Consider the following 20,950-nt stretch of genomic DNA (forward strand, 5'->3'; position numbering starts at 1 on the left):
AGTCTGTGAGATTTTAACTCAAAAGCTCTATAATGGAAAATGCATGCTGGACATGCTCACTTTAGGATATCAACTGACTTCAGAAGAAACTTTGGAAGTAGGGAGGGCATAACCATAATAGTGCTTCAAATTTTCACAGTGCCTTATGATTTGAAATTGATATATAGTTCTTTCTTCTTCTACAAGTGAGACTGATCTGGCTTTAAATGCCAAGCATAGACTCAGACTTTTAGGAGAAAGATTCCTATATCACAGTCCACCACATCCCTTATTCCTTGAGTATTTAATAATCGAAATAAGATGTTAAATTCACCATCCATTCATTCAACATCAATTCACCATCCATTCACCATCCATTCATTCAACAAATATTTTTCAAATGTCTACTTTGCAACCTGCATTTTTCTAGGCTCCATAGCAAAGAAGAAATCAGACAAAAATTCCTGCCTTCATGGAGTTTACATCTAACTGAAGCAAGGTAGAAGACAGCTAAAGAATAAACAATCAGACAAGATAAATGTATAGTAGGTCACATGGTAAATACTTTGGAGAAAAATAGAGCAGAGTGGGGGTGGGGGTGGTAGAGCATGTAAGCTGAGAAAAGTGGGATGAAAGTATTTTAAATTAGGTCATCAGGGCCAGGTGCAGCAGCTCACACCTGTGTTCCCAGCAATTTGGGAGGCCAAGGTGGGTGGATCACTTGAGGTCAGGAGTTCGAGACCAGCTTGGCCAACATGGCGAAAACTGGTCTCTACTAAAAATACAAAAATTAGCCAGGCATGGTGGCACACACCTATAATCCCAGCTACTCAGGAGGCTGAGACACAAGAATCTCTTGAACCTGAGAGGTGGAGGTTGCAGTAAGCTGAGATGGCACCACTGAACTACAGCCTGGGTGACAGAGCAAGACCCAGTCTAAAAAAAAAAAAAAAAAAAATTGGGTCATCAGGGAGGCCTCACTGACAAGACAATATTTGAGCAGAATCTGGGATATGAGGGGGCAATCCAGGCAGCTATTAATGTAGAAGAGCAGGGCAGAGAGAAGAAACAGGAACTGAGTAATAGAAAGGAAGAAGGTGTTTCTCTCATTGAGGAAGAGACTGGAATGAAGTGATGGAAGTAAAGCATAGCTGGAGATAAAGTCAGAAATGTAGGAGCTGTGGGGAGGATGATTATGTAGGACCTTTGGGATCATTATGTACAAAGACTTTGGCTTCTTCCCTGAGTGAGTGGGGAAGAATTTGGAGGGTCTTGTGCAGAGAAGTGACATGATCTGACTTATTCTTTCTGTGATGTGGGGAGTAGATTGTAGGGAAAGAGGTAAGGAAAGAGGCAGGGAGGCTATTTAAAGGCTATTGCAATAATACAGTTGAGCCATGATGATGACTTGGGTTAGGATGTTGGCATTATGTATGAAAAGTACTTAAATTCTTGATTTATTGTGAATGTTAAATCAATGGGATTTGCTGGATATGGGGAATGAGAGTAAGAAAGAAATCCAGGCTGCTGTACATGTTTTGTCCTGAGCAGGCTGGAATGACGAATTTGCTATTAAGAGAATGTGAAGGACTATGGGAAGAGCAGGTCAGGGTAATTGAAACACGAAAAGTTTAGTTTTGAACAAGACTTTTTTGAGGCTGTGTGCGGTGGCTTACGCCTGTAATCCCAGCACTTTGGGAGGCCAAGGTGGGGGGATCATGAGGTCAGGAGTTTGAGACCAGCCTGGACAACATAGCGAAACCGCGTCTCTACTAAAAATACAAAAAAATTAGCCGGGTATGGTGGTATGTGCCTGTAGTCCCAGCTACTCAGGAGGCTGAGGCAGGAGAATCACTTGAATCCAGGAGGCAGAGGCTGCAGTGAGCTGAGACTGTGCCATTGCACTCCAGCCTGAGTGACAGAGTGAGACTCCATCTCAAAAAAAAAAAAAGGCTTCTTTTTGAAATCTAACTCAGATCATATTCTTACTAAGAATTCCTTATTGTATTCCTTACTTAAAGATACTTACTTTTAAACATTATATATCCATACTTATTTTAAACATTATATATCCATAATATGTAAGGCATACTTTTTTTCTGGAATCTATTACGGGCAAGGAACTGTAGATAAAACTATAGGACATCCTTATTGTCTAGTAAGAAAGATTTGTAGCATGAACTCCATTACCTACAATTCAAATCACCTAGTGCTCAAGATGGGCAAAAGTCCATTGCCTTTGGGAGAGATAGCAGGAAGGGATCACTTTGAACTCCATGAGAAGAGAAGGGATTAAAGATTTGAACTGGGGCCAGGTGCAGTGAGTGGCTCATGCCTGTAATCCCAACACTTTGGGAGGCTGAGGCGGGCAGATGGCTTGAGCTCAGGAGTTGAAGACTAGCCTGGGCAACATAGTGAAACTCTGTCTCTACAAAAAACACAAAAGTTAGCTGGATGTGGTGGCTAATTTTTAATCAGCCTGTGGTCCCAGCTACTCAAGAGGCTGAGGTGGGAGGATTACTTGAGCCCAGGAGGTCAAGACTACAGTAAGCCGAGATCATACCACCGTACTCCAGCCTGGGAGACAGAAGAGACCCTGTTAAAAAAAAAAAAAATGAGCAGGATCTCTTAAGTATAGGAATTAGATGTGGGAAGATGGGTGTGGAAGGTGCACAAGGAAAGGAATTTCTGGCAAATGGAACAGCATAGGCTCAGGTGTAGGAATGGAAAAACACATTCATGTTCAGGCAAAGGCAAGTTGATAGATGGCTGAGCACTGCACAAAGCTGGTTTGGGTGAATAATGGGAGGTAATATAGGTAAGATAGGTATGGCCTGATTATTTTATAGTTTGCTGCTAGAAGAAAGAGAGAAGATCACCAGAGAGTTAAGAAGGGTTCATCGGATAACCATGTGGAGGTTGCACTGCAGTGGAGAGAGACTGGAGGCTGGTCCAGCTGGGAGATTGCTGCAGTAATAATGTAGGCCTCAAGTGGGGACAAAGAATAACGTTTATGAACTGTCACTGTCCACGAACACAATGTCCCATCCCTGAGTTAATCCAGGTGTAATGCAGACAACTAATTTTGTAAAACTACTATTTCCTTGAAACCGACATGAATTTTAGCTTGAATGGAATCAGTCAATGGAAGGATAGGCCAGGAAAGAAGGCAATGCTTGATACGGGTGTTTCCCAACCGACACACACTGTGTGGCGTCTACTAAGCCACAGGCTGGCTCCTCCGCCAGGGGAAGGTTTTGCCTGACAGCAATTCCTATGAGATAGCTTCTTCCTTTTTTTTTTTTTTTTTGAGGGGGCAGGAAGTAGGAGGGGGCAGCATGGCGGAAGCCCTTGTGAGTGCAGGGGTCTTCTGGAAAGAGAAGTTCTCATTCTTTGGAGAGAGCTTCCAAAGGTGGACAGCTTTTTTTTCTGTTTTATGTGGAAGAGAGACTTTGTTGCCCTTGGAGTTGTTGACAGTCCGAGGGGAAGCCAGGTTTAGCAGAAACTGACTCCATAGAAGGCAGAGTGGAAGGAGAAGAGAAAATGGGTCCCAGAAGATGATATTTAGCTGTGGAATCTGAACTTTCCAATTTCACAAGCCCAAAAATACCCTTTATTGCCAAGTTGAGTTAGATTTTCTGTTAGAACAAAAAGGTTTCTAACTGATACAAGAACAGTAGGGATTTGAGAAACGTGATTTTGGAAGAGACTGTGATGAGTGAATTAGTGAGAAATAGGAGGTGGTTTGTTGAACAGAAATGTCTTTTAGAGGAAGTCCTCAGGAAAGCAAAACTAATATAGAGAATATCTTGATTTTCCACAATTCATCAATCTGTAGACATTTATTAGAAGAGAAGTTAGATGTTAAAAACTCAGCCTATGGATTCAGACTGTGAACCTGTGTATTGTAGTTTGTTTTTATAGCCTTTAATTCTCCAACTTATCAACTCTGTGAACTTGAGAAATTATTTCATTCTCAAAACCTCAGCTGCCGCATCTGTAAAAAGGGAACTGTATCTATCTCCTAGAGTTTTTGTGAGTGTAAAATAAGGTTGTGTATGAAAATTGCCCAGAATAATGCCTGGCACATAGAGAATGCTTAATAAACTTTAGCTGCTATTATTATTACTACTACTACTAATATTAACAGTTAGATGTCTAATTTGTTCTGGAGAAAACTAGAAGACAGACAGGTAGGTTGATAACTATAAAATTAATAGAATTTTCTGTTACCTGTAGCATAATGCATAAGTATTCTTGTTTTCTTTCATTTGTTTTAATATTCAGAAGCTATAACAACAATTATAGACACATTATTATCAACGTGGTATGTAATATTTGTTAAGGTTTCTCAGAGGCTGCTAACCAGGCTTCCACAGGGTTACAGTCTCATTAGGGGCCGAAGACAACATCTAGCCCTTGGCTACAGGTCCTATCTTAATTCTTAGCACCATCCAGGTAATTCACGGCTTCAGCTACTCTGTCCTTAATTACTTGGCTCCTTCAGTCCATAGTTATTTTAGTATGAGTTCTCCATCCTTAACGGACTCAGTTCTGTATTTGAATTTCATTTGTAGACTCAGACGTAGTAAAACTCCCTAGGAATAAGTGCCTAAAAATGAATAGGCTTTTCTAGGAGACTGGACCATAATTTGGAGGACAGTTTTCTCTCTGGCATTGTCAGGCACTGATTCAGACTCTGTAATTACTAAAGGTTTTTCAAATTATGGCATTTTACATTGGTTTTAATTTTTCATCATTTTGAGTATGCAGACTACTATCACGACATTGTCTCAAATAATTCTCCCGGCATCTCTGTGAGGTAAGCATAATTATCCAACTTGAAGCTAAGAAACAGAGTCATGGGTGAGCAGTGGAAAATGACCCAGTGACTGATCTTCAGGCTCCCAGGCTGATGCAATTTCTTCCCATTCCTCCTGGCTCCTGGAGTTGTCAACCTTTGACATTTTAAACTTTACAACCCAACTTAAGTAACAGCTGAGCAGCAGAAATACAAAGACAGCAGCATTCAAAATTTCTGTCCCTCAGATTTTGAGGAAGAATTCAATTATTATCATTCTTAAATTAATAATTATTAGAAAACAAGAACACCAATGACAAGAAGTCGATTGTGGGCTAGAGGGAGAGAAGGATCATATGGAAGGAGGCACATTTCATCTTTAAATAACTGAATAAAAGTGAAGGCTTGTTTTCTCTGTCTTTATTAACTAGAATGTCAGAGCACAGAGAATTTAAAAATTGGGCTTGCCATGGCTCAGGCTTGTAGGGAAGAGATCTTCCCAGTGAATACGATTATGTATCAAAGACCTTGAAATGAGCATTTCCTCCAGCCAGCTACTAAAAATGGGCCTGTGGCATTTCTGTGCTTAATTCAGCTGGATAGCCTTTGGGAAAGGGCTGGTGCAATTTTAAATCTGGTGTTAAGATGAGTGATAAAGAACAGTTCCATCGAGGGCATGGGACAGAGCACACAGAGGAGAAAAAGTTCTGGACTGGGGCCTGGAAGCCTGGTATTCTCATCCCAGGGCTGCCTCTTGTGAGCCACAGTCTTGAGCTAGTTTCTTAAGCTCCCTGGCTTTCACTTTCCCCACTGTATGAAAATGAAAAGTGAGACAAGATGAGCCTGGGGTCCCATTCAGCTTCGAAGCCCTGATGTTCTAAAAGCACCTATCCCCAGACACTGACTGTTCTGGCCATGGCCAAGAGCAGATGGATGGTTTAGAAAGCAACACATAGAGGACTATTCCATGGCGCTACCTGCTGAAATCATTAAACCCAGGGTCTGGTAATTTGTGCCCAAAGCTATATTTTAGGTGCCGAAAAAAGCCTGTGGACAGTTCATGTAACAAATTAAATGCAACGAAAGGAAGAGAAATATGAGTTATTACTTTAAACTCTGCCAGATTCAGAACTGTAGGCCAGAAAAGAGATAATGCTGCTTGAGACCACAAAAGGAAAAGAATTAGGAAATGCGTCTCCTTTCCCTGATTCACCCCTCTGTGATATCGCCCTCCACTGGCATTGTGGTGTGTGCTTCCTAGAACAATAGGCCATCAAATCATGTAGTGCCACAGATGGAAAAAGACCAGACAAACTACACAGGACACTGAAACAGGAACTTGTGACTCTGCCAGCAGAACACGGTAGTTTCTCTCAGCCATTAGTTCACCTGCAGGGTCATTAAAAAAAAACATTTATTGAGTAACAAGTCTTTCAATGAAGTTGAATTTTATTTTCTTTATTTAGCCTCTATTGTTCTTAGCTGTGAATAATGTTATTCTTGCCGTTTGCAAAGACCCTAAATGTATTAGGTTGGTGCAAAAGTAATTGCTGTTTTTGCCATTGAAAGTAACGGCAAAAGCTGCAGTTACGTTTGCACCAACCTAATATAATTACAAATGGTAAAAAGCAAAAGGGAGAACTATGACAAAATGTACGTGAACTCCACAAATCCAAGGCCCAGTGTAGACACAAGCCTGGCTGAACTGTGTAGGACAGGGAGCACCTGCTTTTTGCAGGATGCTGAGGAACATGGAAGATTAGTATGTATGTAATTTTAGCTATAGATTCCTTGCTTATTCATTGATTTTACATAATCTATGACATAGACTAAGTAGAACACAATCTTTCCTGGAAAATTTTCTTATTTAACCCTATGAAATAGCTATGAAACCCAGATCATTAAGCAGTTTTGAGTAACATCTATGTCCAAAGTAGAACACAGGCAAACCCAGCCCTTCTGGTCTACGTGTGACACAGTCATGAGGACAAACCCACAACAAGAAAAGAAATTTAAAAATAAACAAAAAACCACAAGCCAGGAGCGTTAAAACACAAAGCAATCACACAGAGATCAGAGGAACATTGTCTGTGCCTTCCGTCTCCCCACTCCCAGCCCTTTTAATAACTTAAACAGTTGCCTCTGATCCTTCCTTGGATGGTGGACAATACCAAAAGCTGAGATCCACCCTCCACCCTGGCAATTCCATTACTGCATCATGGCTGGACATCTGAAAGAGTCTGGGAATAGCCAGCTGGTTTTAGGCAGAAGGCCCAATATCAACAGTGTGTCTGGTGGGCAGCTGGAATAAGGCTGGTGAGTGGCTGAGCCTCTATTCCATAAACAACTGGCAGGATGTTTTAGCCTTTATCAGCCACTGCCTTAATGAAGGCCTGAGCTGCTAATAAAACCTACTCAAAATGGTAGGTCAAAGTCTACCCCCAGGATCCTGGGAATTAGCAGACATTTTGATTTCATGTTTAAATAAGCCAATGGGTACTGCTGTTACAATTGAGGCAACACTTCTATCCACTTACCTAATCATAACATTAGCAAAGCTATGATGCTTTGGATGAAAGTGGGGCAAGCCAGTGGCCTGTCGTCTGAGTCAATCAGTCACTCCAACAGCCACTCTGTTGGTCATCAGTGTAACAACCAACCTCTCAGTTTGCTGCCATTTTCCTAAGCTTGGCATTTTTCTCATTAGCTGACAAGTTTCAGCTTCTCACTCTGTCATTTATTATTATGAAACACTTTTCACCTCCCAGGACTCACCACCAGGCCCTCTCACCATCTTATCTACTCCCCACTCCCTTTTCCTGCTTCTGCTCTCATTCATAGGTTTTCTGGCATTGCCACAGAATGCTATGGAATAATATGGACTTAATACCACTATTCTTTGGTTTTAACCTTATCAGCATCCTCACAAATGCCTGGCGATCCATCTGTTCATCTGTTTTGAATTTTTTTTGCATATTTTTAGAAGCTGTTGTACTGGACTGGCACTGTCACTCACAAATTGTGTTGTTTGGCAAGTCCTTTAACATCCTCTTCTGTAAAGTGGGTGGTTGGACTGAAAGGTCTTCAAAGTCTCCCTGGATGTAAAACAGAGGTCATGTTCTGAACCTTCTCAGTCTTCCTCAGATGTCGGTCCTTCATCACTACCCTTATTCTCACGGACCACCCTGGCTTCTGCTTTATTGAGGCACATGTTTGGTTCCCTAGTTTTGACTCCTTTCTATAACTTCTCTGTCATTCACTCCTCTCTTTCAGGAAGAGGGCACATGACTCTTGCAAAGGCTAACTTATCCTCCTGCACTCTTTTTCCCTTTTCTTCAGTGATTTTATATATTTTATTGATAGATTGAAATTATGAATGAAATTCATATTTGTAAACATTTAATAATAATTAATTAAAAGAATGACTTCCCATCCAATCCTACTTTATAAAGATAACCATTTTAATTTGCTGGGTATTCTTCCAGAATGTTTACACATATGTATCACATTTATCCAATATATATATTATATATTATATAATGTTTTATATATATAAATGTTTTAAATATATATCTATAAAACAAATGTGAATCATGTTATACATGCTATTCTGCAACATATTTTAAAAACTCAACATTCTGCTTCATCCAATAAGTATTTATTGAACATTTACTAACTGTGGGTCAAGCTCTATGCCAGGGCATGGATATACAAGGATGAGAAATACAAGGATGAGAAAGCAGATATGGTCCCTGCCACAGTGGAACTCACAATGCAGTGGAGGGATATTTTGAGCTTCATTCCATTTTAGTACATACACATTTTGCTCATTGTTTCTAATAATTGCACGGTGTTCTGTAGAAGAGGTTTACCATAATTTACTTAAACATTTGTCTATTGAAGGACACTTGGGTTCTCCATTTTTTCCTATTGCAACTAATATTATAATGAATACCCTTGGACATTTGCATGAGTTTTTCTGTGGGACAGAATCATATTAGTGAAATTGCCCAGGTAGAAGGCAATTTAAAATTTTATGCATATTTAAGAATATACATATTTAAAATTTCAATATTTTCACATTACTTTATAAAAAGGCTGTAGCAATATATCTTCCCTCATTAGCAGCCAGACTTCTGACCCCAGTCCCCCCATCATCTTTGAAATTTTACTTATCAACTATTCTCCCTTTACTTGCATCCACAATCACTCCGTTAACCTATAAAAAAGCTTAGGCAATCCTGCCCCCCTGCCCCTTTTCTTTTTTTTTTTTTTTGAGATGAAATCTCACTCTGTCACCCAGGCTGGAGTGCAATGGTGTGGTCTCGGCTCATTGCAACCTCTGCTTCCTGGGTTCAAGCAATTCTCCTGCCTCAGCCTCCTGAGTAGCTGGGACTACAGGTGCATGCCATCACACCCGGCTAATTTTTTTAATTTTTTTTTTGTATTTTTAGTAGAGACGGGGTTTTACTATGTTGGCCAGGCTAGTCTCGAACTCCTGACCTTGTCATCTGCTCGCCTCGGCCTCCCAAAGTGCTGGGATTACAGGCGTGGGCCATCACACCCGGCCTGTGATTTCTTAAGTTACCTATCTTTCTCATTTCCTCTTGGCCATTACTTCCCTCAATTCATAATCCTTTCCATAAGGTTTAGGTCCGCATCATAATGCCACAGTGCTCTCAAGGAGCTCCCCAGTCACCTCAAATCACTACGTCCAATGAGGGCTTAGTCTTTTTAACCCCCATGGAACGTTTCTTCCTTCTCAAGACCTTCTCTTTTACAGAAACATTCTTCTGTTTTTCTCTTCCTAGCTTTCTGATGTGGCCCCCTTAATACAGGGAGACATTTGGCCTTTGGCATTCTTTCTTCTCCCTTTATCATTTCCTCCTGATCTAATCTACTGCCCTGGCTTTCATTATTGCTTCTGTATGTGTCTGAACTCTTCATCTCTGGTCAAGGTCATTCTAATAAGCTCTAGACCTGAATTTCCAACTGCAGAAATGTTATACCCAAAAGACACCCTTACGCCAATCTCAGTATGCTCAGAATGGAATTCATTTTCTCCACCTGAAACCTTCCTTATGCTTGTTTTTTTTTTTTTTTTTTTTTTGTGACAGAGTCCAGCTCTGTCGCCAGGCTGGAGTGCAGTGGCACAATCTCAGCTCACTGCAGCCTCTGCCTCCCGGGTTCAAGCAATTCTCCTGCCTCAGCCTCCCGAGTAGCCGGGACTCAGGGGCGTGCCACCACGACTGGCTAATTTGTGTGTGTCTGTGTGTGTGTGTGTCTGTGTGTGTTTTAGTAGAGATGGGATTTCACCATGTTGCCCAGGCTGGTCTCAAACTCCTGAGCTCAGGCAATCTGCCCACCTGGGCCTCCCAAAGTGCAAGGATTACAGGTGTGAGCCACCGTGTCTGGCTGGCTGGCCGGCCGGCCTGCCTGCCTGCCTGCCTTCCTTCCTTCCTTCCCTTCTTCCCTTCTTTTCTTTCCTTTCTTTCTCTGTCTTTCTTTCTTTCTCTCTCTCTCTTTCTTTTTCCTTCCTTCCTTCCTTCCCTTCCCTCCCTCCCTCCCTCCCTCCCTCCCTCCCTCCCTCCCTCCTTTCTTTCTTTCTTTCTTTCTTTCTTTCTTTCTTTCTTTCTTTCTTTCTTTCTTTCTTTCTTTCTTTCTTTCTTCTTTCTTTTCTTTCTTGCCTTCTTTTTAACAGAATCACTATTCTTCCAGTCATCTAGGCTCAAAATGTCAGCGTGTTTTTACTACTATCTTGTTCTTGACTCTCATTTCCCATCCATTGCCAAGTCAATAGATTCTACTAAGGCTGCATTTCACACACCAGCATCTTACAGAATAATGGGTTAAACAAAGTTAAAAAACATTAAACTGCAATACCTCTTATACCTTTGCATCATGAATCCCTAAAAAGGACAGTTCCTATGCATTTCTCCCCTTATAGAGCAAATACATTTTTATTTTCAAGAGAAATCTATTGAAGTTTCTCAGGAAGTTAAGGAATATATTTTGGTAAATGCATGCATAGAAAAAATGTCGTTCTCTAAAACAGCATTTTGATGTGTCATTTCACTGAATTCATTCAGAAAGAAGCTATATGAAAGGGCCAGATCTGGTGAAAGCCATGCAGAATGGGTGGTGGGCTTCTTCCTAACATTGTTGCTGATTCCAGACAGTAAACATCCGTGCAGTTCATTGCAAGTGAGTTTCATAATTGGTGTAAAAGTAATTACAGATGCACAGGCATTTAGAAATGGGTTAAAACAATTTTGTGCTTACTCAGTATCACTCTGGCTCAAAATTCTTTTAAGTGTTCATCAGACATCTCACTCTGTCTATAATTTGGTCCTGCTTGGGTTTTAAAAATAGGTGTCTTTTAAGTGGTATATATTAATTTCCTTTGAGAGCCACTATTTCCATGTATCATCAAGTAAAAAAAACTGTGCTCCAAAATTATTCAAACACACTGATACATTTGGCTTCTATAAAAAGTTAATTACAAGCTGACATAGATAAACAATATCTTATACTTTCTTTTAGGTCCTAGAACTGACTTTGGTTATATCTACATTAGCCGATATGTAGCTCTAAATTATAGCCTAGAAATGATATTCATTGCTACTATGGCATTATTTTATGTTTCTTTTCACATCAGATAATATTCACAAAATGTAATAAAATAAAAATGTATGAAAAGAAGGAAAATAACTACCTCATTTGTATCTATTTCTCTTAACAAATGATATGAATTTTATGCAATGGCTGTAAAATGTTTAATGCAAGTGACACATTTCTAGCTGCCAGGTGGCATGTTCTGCTGTACAGGAAGTGAGTGCCCAAGGAAGGCAAAGTATGAGTTAGAATGCAAGAAACTGAACACTCCTACTCACACTGGCATGGACAACAGGGAAATTCAGGTTCTCTTTAACAAGAGGCTTGGAAGTGGCATAAGCACAGGATGTGAGAGCTCCAGCTCTGCTCTTCTGAGAATGTTTGGGTTCTTTCCTCTATATGTTGGTTTTATTCTTAGGCTGGGAACAAAACGGCTACAGCAGTTCCAGGTCTCACAGCCAGACTTGACATTATTTAGAAGCAGAGAAGCATCCATTCCTCCAGCAGACCACCCCTCAGATTTCACTGGCCAAAAGGGATCACTACTCATTACTCACCAAGCAATGATAATAGATCAGTTACAGCCTGTAGCTATCAATGGCTTAGGCAATGTGCCACAAACAACAAGACAATAGATCGATGGCTTAGATCAATCAAGACTTAGTCTTAGAGAAGGGAATTAGGTCACTATCCTTTGATTTACTTGAATTAATTTGCACTCTGCTAGCAAGAAAGGAGGGAGAATGGATGTTGAATGTATGAGTGGCCTATGATGGAGTAATAAACCACCCAAAACATAGTGCTTAAAATAACTACCATTTATTTAGTTCATTTTTCTGGGGTCAGCAATTCAGGCTGGGGTCAGCAATTTAGGCTGGGCTCATCTGGATGGTTCTTTGAATTTGTATGGTCTTTCATGTATGACTGAAGTCAGCTGTGGGTTGACTAGTGGCTCTGCTTTTGTGGGTAGGCTGGCTGTCAGCTGGGGTACTTGGTTCTCCTTCAGAAGTTCTCTCATTCTCCAGAAGGCTAACCTGGACCTCTTCACATGGTTGAGGCAGGTTACAGGAATAAGAGGGCAAGTTTCAATGTGCAAGCAAGGGCAAGGAAGTGGATAAGTCTCTGGGCATATTTGCAATATACCATATTGAGTTTGCCATCATCTGGTATGGCAAAATTTAGTCAAAGATCATTAAAAATATATGCTGCTCTCTTTGTCCTTTTCCTTCATTTTACCCACTTAAACACAATAGTACTTTATATAATAGTTTAAGCAAAACTTAGAAGATATCTAGATATCCAATATTTTGGACTTTTTCTCTTCACCCATATATCTGCCTTAGGACCTGGCATGATGTTATTGTACCAGGTAGAATATTTGTTAGGAAAGCCCAGCTTCTCGGCCCCTTGCCTAATGAAAGGCTTAGAAACTTGAGACTTTTTTTCTAGAGATTTCTAAGCAGAGGCCAACATGCCCCAAGGTATTCTTAATTCTTTAGGATAATGCTTTGTGGTGGGAAAGGCCTTGCAGTGGAAGATTTAGGTACACGATGATGATCAAGGCTTTAAAAAAAAAAAAAAACTTTTATTTCAAGTTCAGGGGATACAAGTTCAGGTTTGTTATGCAGGTAAACTTGTGTCATGAGAGTTTGTTGTACAGATTATTTCATCACCCAGGTATTAAGTCTAGTACCCATTAGTTATTTTTCTTATCCTCTCCCTCCTCCCACCCTCCACCCTCCAATAGGCCCCAGTGTATGTTGCTCCCCTGTATGTGTCCATGTGTTCTCATTATTTAGCTCCCACTTATAAGTGAGAACATGTGGTATTTGGTTTTCTGTTCTTGTTAGCTAAGGGTAATGGCCTCCATCTCCATTACCCTTCAAAAGACATGATCTCATGCTTTATATGGCTGCATAGTATTCCATGGTGTACATGGTGTATATGTAGCACATTTTCTTGATCCAGTCTATCATTGATGTGCATTTAGGTTGAGTTCACATCTTTGCTATTGTGAATAGTGCTGCAATGAGCATATGGGTGCGTGTGTCTTCATAACAGAATGATTTATATACATTACTGGATCAAGGCTTTCTATACCTGAAGAGAGGTGGCTGTTTAATTTCATAGATGCATAAACTGAGAGGTATAAAGGATGATATAGTTGCTTAGTCATAGCCATCAAATGTCAGAATTGAAACAGAACCTGAACTGTGGTCTAAATCTTCTGTCCAACCATCTTAAATAGTTGGAATTTGGCTGTTTAATAAACTCTCTCACCCAAAACACAACTAGGAACAAAAGCATGAGCAAAAGGAGCCTTTAACCCTAAAAAGTATGTCATAAAGTCCATGAAATTCACTTTATTTGGAAAAAATCCTCTTCGGATTGTCGATCAGAGTCTGTTTACTCTTATGCTACACACAACTATAACAGTGGCTTTCTTTCTTTCTTTCTTTTTGAGATGGAGTCTTGCTCTGTCACTCAGGCTGGAGTGCAGTAGCGCAGTCTCGGCTCATTGCAACCTCTGCTTTCCGGTTTCAAGCTATTCTCCTGCCTCAGCCTCCTGAGTAGCTGGTGTACACCACCACGCGGGGTGAATTTTTTTTTTTTTTTTTTTTGTATTTTTAGTAGGGACGGGGTTTCACCATGTTGGCCAGACAGGTCTTGAACTCCTGACCTCAGGCAATCTGCCTTCCTCAGCCTCCCAAAATGCTGGGATTACAGGTGTGAGCCACCATGCCCAGCCCTGGCTAGTGGTTTCTAAGTCCACAGTGTATTAAAAAAGTACTTCAAAGGGGGAAAAATAGACATAATTATAAGAGAATGTGAAGTGATATTTGATAATTTGACAGGAGGGAGAAGAGAGAAAACTTTTAAAAATAAAATTCAGGGATTAAAAAATACAACATTTGGAGCCTTTCTTAAAAATGAAAATAGCTCTCTCTATCTAACTGGAATGGAGGGGCATCACTATAATTGTGGTTCATGTAACATACACACATAAATCTATAAGGCAGTATCTATAGACAGTATAACTTATCTAATTGCTGGCTTCAGATACCAGAATTTTGTTACATATGTTAGTGTCCCTCGCATCTCTCCCCTAGTACAAGGATTAACCATAGCAATATTTAGAAAAGCGTCTTAATTTGGAGGTTCATAAAGCAAGAAAAGAATTTATTGAGAATGATTGAGCCTGCACACTACAGAAATAACTTTCCTCAGTTTATGAAATAGCTAACTTAATCATAAAAGATACACCACAAAACACAGCTTTTCACCAACATGCTTCCAATGTTAACTTTGAGCCCCTCCACACCAGAATTAGCAAAGCCCTCTGCTATCTGTGACCTGGGGCCCATCACCATGCTTGGATGGCCACTGTTTAGAGTCTGCATTGGCCACTGACACATCTTCTTTAGGATGGGGCCCCTTTTTGAATGTAAACTAAGGGGCACACTTGCCTCAGAATGTTTGACTTTATGTTGTGAGGCTGAACATCCTCACACACTGTGGCCCAGCTGTTCTACTCCTAAGTATATCCCCAATGGAAACTCTGTCACATGCCTCATAGGACATGTGCATAAGAATATTATACTGCTCATAGCAAAACAAAAACACAAAACAGTCCAAATCCCCTGCCAATGGGATACTGGGTGAACAAACTGATAATGCTTAGACACAGGAAGATGACCGTCTAAATGAATGATTAATTTTAGCCATATAATATTAAGTTAAAAACATTAAGTCCCCAAAGAATACCTATGGTATGTTACTCTTTTTTAAAGTTAAGAACAAGTGAAATAAAAATATGAATTTTGGAATGTGTATAGATGTAATAAGACAATTTTAAAAAGGAAAGCAAGGGAATGATCAACCCTGTATTCAGGATGAGGTTATTTGGTGGGGAGTGGGAGTTGAGATGAGGAGGAGCCATACGGATATAGGTAGGTTATTTCCAAAGCTCTAGACTTTTAAGGGTAGCGATAGTCTCATAGGCACTTATTAAATTATTTAAAATATTAAATTAAATAGATAACTAGGTAAAGAAAAGCAGGACATACATATATCACTGAAGAGAGTGTGTCAGCAAACAGGATTACAATTAATATAATTATTTGTATCAGAAGGCCAATGGAAGGTCCAGGAAGAAACTTAGGTAAATTAGCAGCTGAGGTTTCCAAGAGTCAATTTGTGGGAGATCTGTTCTCTAAATTACCTCGCCTCTGCGCCACTGAAGGAGGACAGAGAGGGAGGTTTGCAATGGTGCCTTGGTGAAGTGGGAAGGAAAGGGCATGGTATTATAAAGTGGTAAATTCACAGCCATCCCCAAATCTTAGCTCACCAGTAGGTTGCCTTGCTAAGTGCAGAGGCTAACTCCATTTCCCCTATTGCACATCAGAAGCTCACCAGAATCCATGCTGTGTGCGATTGTGACCCTGGAACCCAGCCCATTTCAATGTATTTTGCATGTCCTCCTCTGAAGCATGCTGGAGATAAAGAATGATGAACGAGCAAGAGTAAGTTTAATTAGCACATGACTTGCAATATTTCCCCACTCTGAGGACTAACCATGCTTTTTCTGGTTTTGGACGGAATCTTAAATCCAAGTTTTTAAAAGGGTCTTACTTTCTTAATATAGTTTTAGATTAGATTTTAGAATCAGCACATTATGCACGAATCTAAGAAATAGACATTTTGCACAATCCAAGGTGGAGGTTAGTCATCATTTTGCCTCTCTCTACAGTTTGTGAGAGAGAAATTATAGCAACCAGAACAGCACTCTAGTCCTCTAGAGAGCAATGTTTCTGCTAAAATAAAAAGGGAATGGACTACAGGATAAAGATAATTATGAACATACAACAAAGATGCAAACCTTGGCTCCATCTCCTCCTGCTTCCCACCCTGTGCTGTTCTATTCCTTGGAGAAACAGCTAAAGCAAGGCCCTGCCACTTAGCAAGACTCAGCCTGTGGCTCGGCAGCTGTGTTTCTTATACAGCATATTTGCCTTACAGTATTTGTACTAAAGCTGTATCTTTTCCCTTCTCCACCCAAATGAAATCATTTCCTTTTACCATCCTGCAGCTTAATTCTTATGGAAGAGAGGAGTTACATTTGTAAGGGAGACAGGGTGGGATGGGCAGGGAAGGAACAGCCAGCTTATAAACATGCCAGGGCTTAATATGGGAGCCAGGGAGAAAGCTCACACTTGCAGAAAGACGACAGTGCTTAAGGCCTGCAGCCGCTGTGTTTGTGAGGGATCACTTTTCCCATCTTCACCAAGCCAGACCCTGAAAATGTACCACACCATCCTCTGAAAAGAATTCTTGTTAATTAGCTATGTTTTATTTTTGGAGCTTGACAATATCAAAATCTTTTTGGGAGTTAAGCAATTTTCAGTCATGTTAAAGCACAGGATGGAGAAAGTACTCCCTAATTCTCATAAACTTGCAAGAATGGAAAATGGCAAACTTTGCCTTTTATCTACAGCATATGAAATTTGAAAAATAGCATAAATAAAGACTGTATCCAAGCCCCTTCTGTGCCCTAAAAATGGCATTGCAATGTAGAGAATGAATATATGCATTCACATGTATTGTCAGCTGTCTTGATAAAATGATGTTTTCATAATATAGTGTTATTTCTTTAAACCACATTCAATATTCTTGGCTGCCAGATGACAAGATGGAGAAAACAAAATACGTTTTGGGCAGAGGACAAAGACTTAAGGACTGAGTGGGTCATGGGAGGGAGTCAAATGATAGTTTGAAATTTGCTGCTCTTCTTGCCTGTTCTATTTAATTTTTGAGATGAGTGGGGAAGAGACACATAACACAGGAGATTTGGGGAAGACCAGTTGTCTCAATGTTGGCAATGATTTGTAGGGCATTTTGCATTTATTCTAACAACAAAATCCAAGGGCCAAAGTTGGGTGAGTCTGGACAGATAGCAAGAGAAAAAGACTCTGCTACTTCTAAGCAGCCTTCAAGGAGGTGCCCCGGTGACTGATGTTATAAGGGCTGGCCTCTCCAGAATTTACTTTCAAATAGGGCAGTCATGAATGGAATGAGTTATTGGCTTAAGATATTTAATAAGGATGTGGTAGAATCTGAGCATTGTATTCCAAGTCTGACCTCTCCTAGTACACACACACATATATACACACACACACATGCATGCACACACACCCTTTAGTTTTAATTCTGTTTAAGAGAGAGTTTTATTTTTTATCCTTAAATACCATACTTCATGCCAAATTATTTTCAGTTTTGTTACATACAATGGCAAAAGTGAGTAGCTTGAGAAGCTGGCCGGTGGAGGAGCCTTTTGAAGATTCCCTTTTATTAAAGAGTTTAGAGGCTTCGAAGGACTTGAAAATTGTTGACAGTGAAAAAAAAAGTTAATTGAGACTATAAATTCTTAACCCTGTTTATTATATGTTCAAGGAAGATTGTTCCTTTGGCCTCATTTTCATCCATGTCAACACATTTTGGATTGTAAGTCATTTGGGAGTAGGAGCAGTGACTATGTGCCCTAGATTTTCTAAGATATCCCTGAGTTCCCATGTTCTGCTCTGTGGTCCTTGAAATGCCCTCAAATTGATGTGAAGATTTTTCCCCCATAGCTACTCTGTTTACACAGTCTCATATTCAGAAAGGGTCTTAAAGCTTTGCAGTGGGCCAGGCGCGGTGGCTCACACCTGTAATCCCAGCACTTTGGGAGGCCAAGGTGGGCGGATCACGAGGTCAGGAGTTCGAGACCAGCCTGGCCAATATGGTGAAACCCCGTCTCTACTAAAAATACAAAAATTAGCCGGGTGTGGTGGTGCACACCTGTAATTCCAGCTACTCAGGAGGTTGAGGCAGCAGAATCGCTTGAACAAGAAGGCGGAGGTTGCAGTGAGCCAAGATCATACCTCTGTACTCCAGCCTGGGCAACAAGAGTGAAACTCCATCTCAGAAAACAAACAAACAAACCAAAAACCTTTGCAGTGATGTAGTGGTGTAGGGAGCTTAAACAGCATGTCCTAATTCATAGCTGGTTAGTGGGGACACCCAGGTTAGGGTCTCCTGTTGCAGTGCTGAACTTACAAGTGGACACTTCAGTTTTGTTGCTATCAGTGATCCAGAGGAAGGAGAAAAGTCCCACAAAAGCACCAGAGTTAATTTTATTTGTAAAAAATTGTGAGCCTAAGCAGTTTTTCTTGATAAAGTAAAATTTACTCCAGTGTTGGCAGGGATTGTACAAATGTCTTATTTTCAGGAAATGATCTTCAGCTCATAAATTTTGCCAAAACATAAATATAATTAAAATATATCCCTAAGTGAACTTAAAATCATTCTGGAACAACAAAGTTCCCCAGTGAGATGAGATGTGCCTTTTCTCCTTTTCTTTTTTTCAGTTAATCATTGAGAATTAAATTTTGCTTATTTTCTTTCCCTCTTTAGTTTTCTTGATAACTTCTTCTGCAGTTCAGTGGAAGAATCATCTTTTTTTTTTTTTTCATTCCAATGGAATACTACAATGATTTAAGAACTTTACTTGCTTCAATTTGGATCTTATGCCTTAATCCACCCCCGGCCTCTCCTCCCCATACACACACACACTGGGAATGCGGCTCTCTGAGTCGCTGACTCAAGCAGCAGAACGACATCTGCTGTGGATGTTCAGCAGCACAGCTGACATGTATTTGAAAAGTGAAGTGTTGGAGTCATTTAGGGAGCAGAGCAATTTCCTCTGTCAGAGATGAACACTTGGATTAACAGAGAGTACTTCATTCCCATACAAGTTGATTCTGAAAGTGCCTGAAGCAAATCTCTTGACCCTGAAGTTGAGGCTAACCACTCCTGGGCAGGGTCAGAAGTTTAAAAAAATGCTGTTTTAGAGGTTAATGGGGTGAGGGCTATTTCCAGCTGAGTCTTCAAAAGTGCTTCAGACTGCAATTAGCATTTACTGTTTGCTTAAAAAAATGACTTCACTCATTCACAGCCATTGATTCTTATTTATGAATATTACTTTTTAAAGAGACATTAAAGTAATATAATTAAAATACTTAATGTTTATCTTTAGTCTTTTCCCTTCCTGCTCTAGCAATACCAAAGTTCTTAAAATTTTCTGAATAAGCTATGTCATTTTGTTGTTAACCTTTAAACATGCTGTTTTTTGTTTTAGGAAAACTATATTTTCCCCTGCTTCTCTTTGCCTGGCTAATTCCTACTCGTCTTTTAGGTCTTGAGCTTCCAGCTGGGTGGTGTGTTGCTCCTGTGAGCTCCCTGGACCCCACCCCTTTCCTTACCCGCTACCCACCTTGTCACATTTTTTCTTGTCTACCAGGACCTTCCACCACTGCACCATAGCTATCCACTTGGCACACATTAAGTACTCAACAGATATTTGTTGGATGGATGGATACATGAAGAAAGGAGGAATAGAGGAATGAACAAATGGGTAAATCACTTTCCAATTAGTGGAGGTAGAGTTGCTTTCAAATGTTATTGTGCTTCACAATCACTTGGGGTACTTTGATAAAAATGTGTATTCTCAGGTTCTAACTGCAAGGATTTTTCATGACATATAGGGGTATATGTGGCAAGCCTCAAATAATTCATGACTACAGAACATAATATGTGAGACAGAAAGCGGGGAAGAGCCTGCCAATGAGCCTGGGTTAGATCTGCAGTACAGATGATGGGGAGCCAGCAAAGGATTTCAAGGATGGTCACATTTCTGGTATCTGTGTAGAAATTAGATTCAGCATTGATCTTCAACCTTGGCTGCATGCTGGAATTACCTGAAGAACTTTAACAAGTAAGTAATGATGCCTGGGTCCACCTCAAGAGGTTTGTATTTAATTGGTCTGAGGTGTGGCCTGGGCTCTGGAATGGTGTTAGAGCTTCTCAGGTGATTCTAATAGAACACCAAGATTGAGAACTACTAGAAGAGAGGAGAAAATTCATCCATACAATTTGGCAATCAATCAACTCTCCTCTGACATCTTTTAAGTATTGTGTATTGGCAAAAAGCAGTTAAAAACCACAATGCGATATTACTGCATACCTACCAGAATGGCTAAAATAAACAATGGTGATAACATTAAATGCTGGAGAGAATGTGGAAAAACTAGTTTTCCGATATGTATGGCGTACGTATGGTGGGAATGAATGGCAATTTCTTAAAAGCTAACCATGCAACTATTATGTGACCCAGAGTAGGGTAAATGCATCTGATCACAATAACTTAGGCATACTCTGATAATGACCCTGTGTGGCAGAGACACCTGAATGTATGTTCCTAGCTAGGGAAGCTGGGAGCAGACAACCTGAAGATTAATTCTTTTTCTATGTGGAACGTCTGGGTCTCCGGCTCATCCCATGGAACACCAGCCACACAGGATATTGAAGCTCCAGGTTTTGGGTTGAATGAAGGTTGCCAGGTGGAAGTTTTAGAGAAAGGGTGCTAAGTGAAAATGCTGTAATAAACTGGATGCTTTTTGCAAGCTGTTGCAGTTTTCTTGCCCAGCCCACCTCCACTGGGCTGTGTAGTTCTCCTGT

General features: G+C 40.3%; 1 long non-coding RNA gene across 1 annotated transcript in view; it reads left to right on the forward strand.

Moving 5' to 3' along the window:
• The window catches only part of LAMA4-AS1 (LAMA4 antisense RNA 1), a 70,088-nt gene that overhangs the window by 26,725 nt on the left and 22,413 nt on the right, over positions 1 to 20,950 (forward strand). The window lies entirely within an intron of this gene.

Source organism: Homo sapiens, chromosome 6, assembly GCF_000001405.40.
Source record: "Homo sapiens chromosome 6, GRCh38.p14 Primary Assembly".
NCBI classification, from domain to species: Eukaryota; Metazoa; Chordata; class Mammalia; order Primates; family Hominidae; genus Homo; species Homo sapiens.